The 7,476-nt window shown below is 45.7% G+C and overlaps 1 protein-coding gene across 8 annotated transcripts in view, besides 4 other annotated features; it reads right to left on the bottom strand.

The window, feature by feature from the left end:
- The window catches only part of CHLSN (cholesin), a 160,294-nt gene extending 155,847 nt beyond the window's left edge, over positions 1–4,447 (bottom strand). For 3 of the 8 annotated variants that reach the window (NM_001350968.1, NM_032350.5, NM_001350970.1), the window contains exon 1: positions 4,379–4,447. The gene's annotated coding sequence lies outside the window, so the exon portion shown is untranslated. Of the gene's footprint in view, positions 1–3,504 lie in introns of all 8 variants that reach the window. The other 5 variants (NM_001424326.1, NM_001424325.1, NM_001134396.1 and 2 more) reach the window with 5 other exon arrangements.
- Positions 3,997–4,046: a silencer, noted in NCBI's record as "silent region_17843". NCBI's record gives its function as "represses an Ori minimal core promoter by ATAC-STARR-seq in GM12878 lymphoblastoid cells {active_cell/tissue: GM12878}" and the evidence as "EXISTENCE:reporter gene assay evidence [ECO:0000049][PMID:35858748]".
- Positions 4,057–4,506: a silencer, noted in NCBI's record as "silent region_17844". NCBI's record gives its function as "represses an Ori minimal core promoter by ATAC-STARR-seq in GM12878 lymphoblastoid cells {active_cell/tissue: GM12878}" and the evidence as "EXISTENCE:reporter gene assay evidence [ECO:0000049][PMID:35858748]".
- Positions 4,567–4,666: an enhancer, noted in NCBI's record as "active region_25488". NCBI's record gives its function as "activates an Ori minimal core promoter by ATAC-STARR-seq in GM12878 lymphoblastoid cells {active_cell/tissue: GM12878}" and the evidence as "EXISTENCE:reporter gene assay evidence [ECO:0000049][PMID:35858748]".
- Positions 4,707–4,846: a silencer, noted in NCBI's record as "silent region_17845". NCBI's record gives its function as "represses an Ori minimal core promoter by ATAC-STARR-seq in GM12878 lymphoblastoid cells {active_cell/tissue: GM12878}" and the evidence as "EXISTENCE:reporter gene assay evidence [ECO:0000049][PMID:35858748]".

Below are 7,476 nucleotides of genomic sequence, written 5' to 3' on the forward strand. Positions count from 1 at the left end.
AAGATCATTTGCTATAATGTTTGTTGTGAGACAAAATTTAGGCTGGAACACAGTGGCATAATCACAGCTCACTGCAGCCTCGACCACCCAGGCTCAAGCAATCCTCCCAACTCAGCCTCCGGAGTAGCTGGCACTACAGGTGTACACCACCACGTAGCTAACTCTTGTATTTTTTGTGGGAATGGGGTTTCGCCATGTTTCCCAGACTGGTCTCAAACTCCTGAGCTCAAGTGATCCTCCCACCTTGGACTGCTGGGATTGCAGGCGTGAGCCACCACACCTGGCCCCAAAATATATATATATATTTTTTTAATTCGCTGGGCATGGTGGTGCGTGCCTGTAGTCCCAGCTACTTGGGAGGTTGAGGCAGGAGAATCACTTGAGCCTAGGAGTTCAAGGGTGCAGTGAATCACGATCACGCCATGATACTCCAGCCTCGGCGACAGAGTGAGAGACTGTCTCTTAAAAGGGTGGGGGGCAAGGCTGAGCGCAGTGGCTCACACCTGTAATACCAGCACTTTGGGAGGCCGAGGTGGGCAGATCACCTGAAGTCAGGAGTTCGAGACTAGGCTGGCCAATATGGTGAAACCCCATCTCTACTAAAAATACAAAAATTAGCCAGGTGTGGTGGCGTGTGCCTGTAGTCCCAGCTACTCGGGAGGCTGAGGCAGGAGAATCACTTGAAACTATGGAGATTACAGTGAGCCGAGATCGCGCCACTGCACTCCAGCATGGGTAACAGAGTGACACTGTGTCTCTAAATAAATAAATAAATAGGCCGGGTGCGGTGGCTCACGCCTATAATCCCAGCACTTTGGGAGGCCGAGACAGGCAGATCACAAGGTCAGGAGATCGAGACCATCCTGGCTAACATGGTGAAACCCCGTCTCTACTAAAAAATACAAAAAATTAGCTGGGCATAGTGGCGGGTGCCTGTAGTCCCAGCTACTCAGCTACTCGGGAGGCTGAGGCAGGAGAATGATGTGAACCTGGGAGGCGGAGCTTGCAGTGAGCCGAGATCGCACCACTGCACTCCAGCCTGGGCTACAGAGTGAGACTCCTTCTCAAAAATAAATAAATAAATAAATACATAAAGAGTCATCTACCTGCCCTGTCTCTGACTCCTTTCCTTCCCCCATCCCATCAGGCTTTTGCCCCAAACACCCTACCACAATGACACCCACGTGGCTAAATCCCATTGCCAACTCTCAGTATGCAACTTATTTGACCTAACAGCGTTGGACTGTTGATCCTTCCTTCTCTCTTGACAGGCATTTTTCACTTGGCATCCAGCACAGACAGCAGAACTTCTGCTTTTGCTCCCACCTCTTAATCGCCGTGTCCTTGAACACTGAAGGACCCAGGCTTAGTGCTCAGCCTCCTCACTCCCTCGTGATCCCATTCAGTCATGTGGCTTCAAATACCAACTAGACGCTGATGACTTTGTTTCCTCTCTTTACAGTCTCTTATTAACCCTCTCCTTCAACTACACGCCAACTCAACTGTGTATATATATAGCTATAGTTGTATGTATATACATATAGTTATATATATATACATGGTCATATATGTGTACCTAGACATATATACACATATATATACTTGAACTCCTGACCTCTGTTTACACTGTTTATACACATATATCTACATGTGTGTATATATATGTATGTGTATGGCCGGGCACGGTGGCTCACGCCTGTAATCCCAGCACTTTGGGAGGCCGAGGCGGGGAGATCACTTGAGGTCAGGAGTTTGAGACCAGCCTGGCTAACATGGTGAAACCCCATCTTTACTGAAAACACAAAAATTAGCTGGGTGTGCTGGCACCTGCCTGTAAACCCAGCTACTCGGGAGGCTGAGGCAGGAGAATCGTTTGAATACGAGGTGGAGGTTGCAGTGAGCCGAGATCGCGCCACTGCACTCCAGCCTGGACAACAGAGTGAGACTCCACCTCAAAAAGAAATATATATATATATATATATACACAATTTATTTATTTATTTATATAAAATAAATATATAAATATATTTACATAAATATGTATTTATATAAATATATAAAAATATATATGAATATATAAATATATAAGTATATATAAAAATATATATAAGTATATATAAATATATAAGTATATATAAATATATATAAATATATATAAGTATATATAAATATATAAGCATATATAAATATATATATAAAATATATATGTATATATAAATATATGTATAAATATATAAGTATATATAAATATATATAAATATAAGTATATATAAATTTATATAAATGTGTATATAAATATATATACATAAATATATATAAATATATACATAAATATATAAATATATATACATAAATATGTATAAATATACATAATTATAAATATATACACAAATATATAAATATATATAAACATATATAAATATATAAAATATATATAAATATATATAAACATATATAAATATATAAAATATATATAAATATATATAAACATATATAAATATATATAAACATAAATATATAAATATATAAACATATAAATATATATAAACATATATATAAATATATATAAATATATAAACATATATATAAATATATATAAACATATATATAAATATATATAAACATATATATAAATATATATAAACATATATAAACATATATAAATATATAAACATATATAAACATATAAATATATATAAACATATATAAATATATATAAACATATATATGAACATATATAAACATATATAAACATATAAACATAAACATATATAAACATATATAAACATATATAAATATATATAAATATATAAAAATAAATATATATATGCGGATGTGTGTATAAACTGTGTATATATATAACTATATATATAACCATATATATGTACTTATATATATCATCTACACATATATCATCTCAAGCTTAAGAATTCGTAATCAATACCCCTGATCACCCTCCACAAACCTGAGCTTCCTAGTGTTCATCCTCTCCATAAACATCCATCTGATGAGGTTCACATAGTAGCTCAAGCTTAAAACCTTGGTCCATCCATAAATCCTCTCTTTCTCACATACTCGTCCAACCCACCACAAACTCCTGTTGGTTTACCACTGAAATACACCCAGAATGTGACTCCCTTAAGATCCCATAGGTACCCAGTCCAAGCCACCACCTCTCACGATGGCTTTTAAACTCCTAAATCAGATGGTGTGTCACCTCCACTCAAAAAACTTCCCAAGCTGTCCCCTTCCACTTGGAGGGAAAGTCAAGGTCCTTGCCACTTGGTAAGGTCCACACGACTGCCCTGGCCCCTCCTCGCATCTCTGGGAACTCACCTCCTCTTTCTCTCTCTGTTCCCAAATTGGCTGCAGCCACACTGGGCTCCCTGCTGTTTCCCCTGCACCTGCTGTTTCCTCGACCTGGAATGTTCTGGTGCCTCACTCCTCCTCCTGCTTCCTTTCCATTCTCAAAACCCCTGTTCTCATCTTCTCCATGGCACTTACCATCACCTGCTCTGTGCACCTTGTTCATCTGTCTCTCCCCTCCAGAATGGAAGTTCACTAGATCACAGACTTGTCTCCACTTGTTGACAGCTGTAGCCCAATGCCCCGAACAGTGCAGGAGGAACCCAATGAACGTTTTTTAAAAATGAATGAATGAATGACGGAAGGAAGGAAACGGAAAGCATGCTTATGATGGAAAGTGAGGCCAAGCGCGTTGGCTCACTCCTGTAATCCCAGCACTTTGGGAGGCCGAGGCAGGAGGATCCATCGCTTGAGCCCAAGAATTCGAGACCAGCCTGGGTAACATGGTGAGACCCCATTTCTACAAAAAACATTTTTAAAAATTATCCGGGTGTGGTGGCGCGCGCATGTGGTCCCAGCTACTTGGGAGGATGAGGCGGGAGGACGGCTTGAGCCCAGGAGGTGGAGGCTGCAGTGAGCTATGATCACGCCATTGCACTCCAGCCTGGGTGGCACAGCGAGACACTGCCTCAAAAATTGAAAAAGAGAAAGTGGGAGCTGAAAGCCTCGGAGGGCAATCAGGGCGTCTTCAGAGAAAGACAATGAAACCAGAGCCACTGCAAGCCCTGACGGCCTGAAACCTAGGAGCCAGCTGAGTCCCTTCCACTCGCCCGCGCTGAGTTAACCCAGAGGCGGGTGCGGGTGTCGGAGCCCGCGCCGGGACGCACCGGCCGCACCGGCCGCACCAGCCTCCCCAGCACCGCGGACCCCAGGGCCGCCGCCCGGTCGCGCCGCGCCGGGCCTCCGCGCACCCACGTGGAGGGGGCGGAGCCCCGCGGGAGCCCGCCCCGGGGCTCTGGGTCTCCTGGCGCCCTGACCCGCCGGCCACCCCGCCGCCGCCCCACGCGCCTACCTGCGCCCACCTGCGCCCACGTCGCCCACCTAAGCGTGAACAGCTGCGTCGCGGACGCCGCCTTCCGGCAGGGACCCGCGCCCCAGGTAAGCGTTAGTCCCGCCTTCAGGAGTGCGGAGCCTCCCATTGGACGAGGTCTGCGTCCGTCTCTCCGCCGGCTAATGGCAAGCGGCGGCAGCACGGGGGGCGGTTCCAGGACCGGGCGCGGGCTACTGACGCCATCTCTAGAGGCCTAGAGTTGCTTGGAGAGGAGCTGGTTGCCAAGGCAACCCGCCCTGCCCAGAACAAGTGCAGATGACTAGGTTTGGGCCCCGCAGGGCTTGGGGGTCTGGGGTGCAAGCTGCCCCGGCCGGGCTGGCGTCCCGGGGTGGGGCCTCCGCCGAGGGTCCAGGGTATGGAGCTCGGCTCGGAGTCGAAATGGATGAGCTACGGCTATTGGGATCAACAGGGCTAGGACTTAAACTTCGTGCTGAATTTAAAAAATCAGGATAGGTGCTAAAAAATACACAGGGTGGGTAGTGTTATAATAATGCTTGTGTCCGGGAGCGGTGACTCACGCCTGTGATCCCAGCATTTTGGGAGGCCCAGGCGGGCGGATCGCTTGAGCTCAGGAGTTCGAGACCCGCCTGGCCAACATGACGAAACCCCGTAACCCCGTCTCTGCTAAAAATACAAAAATTAGCCAGGCGTGGTGGCAGGTGCCTGTAATCCCAGCTACTCGGGAGGCTGAGGCAGGAAAATCGTTTAAGCCCGGGAGGTGGAGGTTGCAGTGAGCCGAGATCGTGCCACTGCACTCCAGCCTGGGCGACAGAATGAGACTCTGTTTTAAAAAATAAAAAATAAATTAAAAAAATAAAAATTAGCCGGGTATGGTGGCACGTGCCTGTAGTTCCTGATACTCTGGACGCTGAGGTGGGAGGATCGCTGGAGCCTGGGAGATGGAGGCTGCAGTGAGCTATGATCAAGGCACTGCACTCCAGCCTGGGCAACAGAGCCAGACCCCGTCTAAAAAAAAAAAAGAAAAAAAAGCATGCTTTCAAGTCACCCAGTAAGTTAAGTGCTTGGCAGCCGTATCAAGTATGATGTACGTTGCCTCAGGAATCCAAAGGTGACAAGCAAAGAAGGTGCACTCTTCCTTACTGGTAGAAGATTGTATTTGGTTCCTTTTTCTGCATAACAAATTAACCCAACATTTAGCAGCCTAAAAGAACATTTATTTTTTCATGGTATCCGCGGTCAGGAAAGTGGGCGTGGCTAAGCTCTGTGCCTTTGCCTCAAGGGTTCACCAAGTTGTGGTCAAGGTGTCCCCCCAGGGTTGTGGTTTCATCGGAAAGCTTATCTGGAATGATCCACTCCCAAGCTCACACACACGGATATTGTAAGGACTCAGTCCTCCAAGGTCATTAGAGAAGGGCCTCAGCCTTGCTGGCTGCTGCCCAAAGGCCACCCTCAGTTCCTTGGTACATGGGCCTTACCACAAGGAAGCTCACAACACTGCAGCTGGCTTGCCTTAGACGGTGCAAGCACACACAAGAGGAGGCACACACAAGACGCACATCACAGTCTCCTTGCACCCTAATCTCAGAAGTGACTTCCCTAGGCTTTTGCCATATTCTGTTCATTAGAAGTCGGCCGGGTGCGGTGGCTCACACCTGTAATCCCAGCACTTTGGGAGGCTGAGGTGGATGGATCACTTGAAGTCAGGAGTTCAACACCAGCCTGGCCAACGTGGCAAAACTCCATCTCTACTAAAAATACAAAAATTAGCCAGGCATGGTGGCATGTACCTATAATCCCAGCTACTCAGGAGGCTGAGGCATCAGAACCTATTGAACCCGGGAGGCAGAGGTTGCAATGAGCTGAGACCGCGCCACTGCACTCCAGCCTGGGCGACAGAGCAAGACTCCAGCTCAAAAAAAAAAAAAAAAAAAAAGTGAATCATGGCCAGGTGCAGTGACTCAGGCCTGTAATCCCAGCTCTTTGGGAGGCTGAGTCAGGAGGATGGATGGACACCAGGAGTTCAAGACCAGCCTGGGCAAACAGTAAGACCTCATGTCTACAAAAATAAAAATAGAAAATTAGCTGGGTGTGGTGGTGCACGCATATAGTCCCAGCTACTTAGGAGGCTGAGGTGGAAGGATTGCTTGAGCCTGGAAGATGGAGGCTGCAGTGAACTATGATCACACCACTGCACTCCAGCCTGGGTGAAAAAAAAAAAGGAAAAAAGGAAAATAATTTTTTTTCATTTTTATTTTTGGAAATTGATATGGTTTGGCTGTGTCCCCACCCAAATCTCATCTTGAATTGTATCTCCCATAATTCCCATGCATTGTGGGAGGGACCTGGTGGGACATAATTGAATCATGGGGGCAGTTTCCCCCATACTGTTCTCTTGGTAGTGAGTAAGTCTCATGAGATCTGATGGTTTGATAAGGGGAAACCCCTTTTGCTTGGTTCTCATTTTCTCTCATCTGTTGCCATGTAAGATGTGCCTTTTGCCTTCCGCCAAGACTGAGAGGCCTCCCCAGCCATGTGGAACTGTGAGTCCATTCAACTTCTTTTTATTTATAAATTACCAGTCTCAGGTATGTCTGAATAGCAGTGTGAATACTGACTAATACAGAAATGCTGAAAGGACTTGGATGCAATGACATCCCAGTGGCACTGAGCACTCCTGGCACCCAGAACACTGCTCCTAAATACCATCCCCCATGAATACGGACCAGGGCTCCTGGGAGAAATGGCTGATCCCAGGGCTGTGGCAGGGAGAGCTCAAGATGGGCCTTGAATAGGTAAATCTGAACATCCTTTACAAGATAGCCTTGTAAGGCTCTCTGGGGTCATCTTCACACATTCTCAGGCGATACCCTTGTCAGGCTATCTAGGGTCATCCTCACATACTCTCACGTCATGTCTGGCACCCGTCTTTCTTGGTTGTTGAGTCTTCCAAGAACAAGGACTGTCTTTCCATTGATTTGCATCTACTATTGTACCTTTCATGAAACACACATTTTTCTCTTTTCTTCCCAAAATAATACTTCATGAATCATGTTTTAAAGTTTTATCCAATATAGGTCTTACGTATGTCCTAAGTTTAT

Source organism: Homo sapiens, chromosome 7 (genome assembly GCF_000001405.40).
Source record: "Homo sapiens chromosome 7, GRCh38.p14 Primary Assembly".
In the NCBI taxonomy this organism is placed as follows: domain Eukaryota; kingdom Metazoa; phylum Chordata; class Mammalia; order Primates; family Hominidae; genus Homo; species Homo sapiens.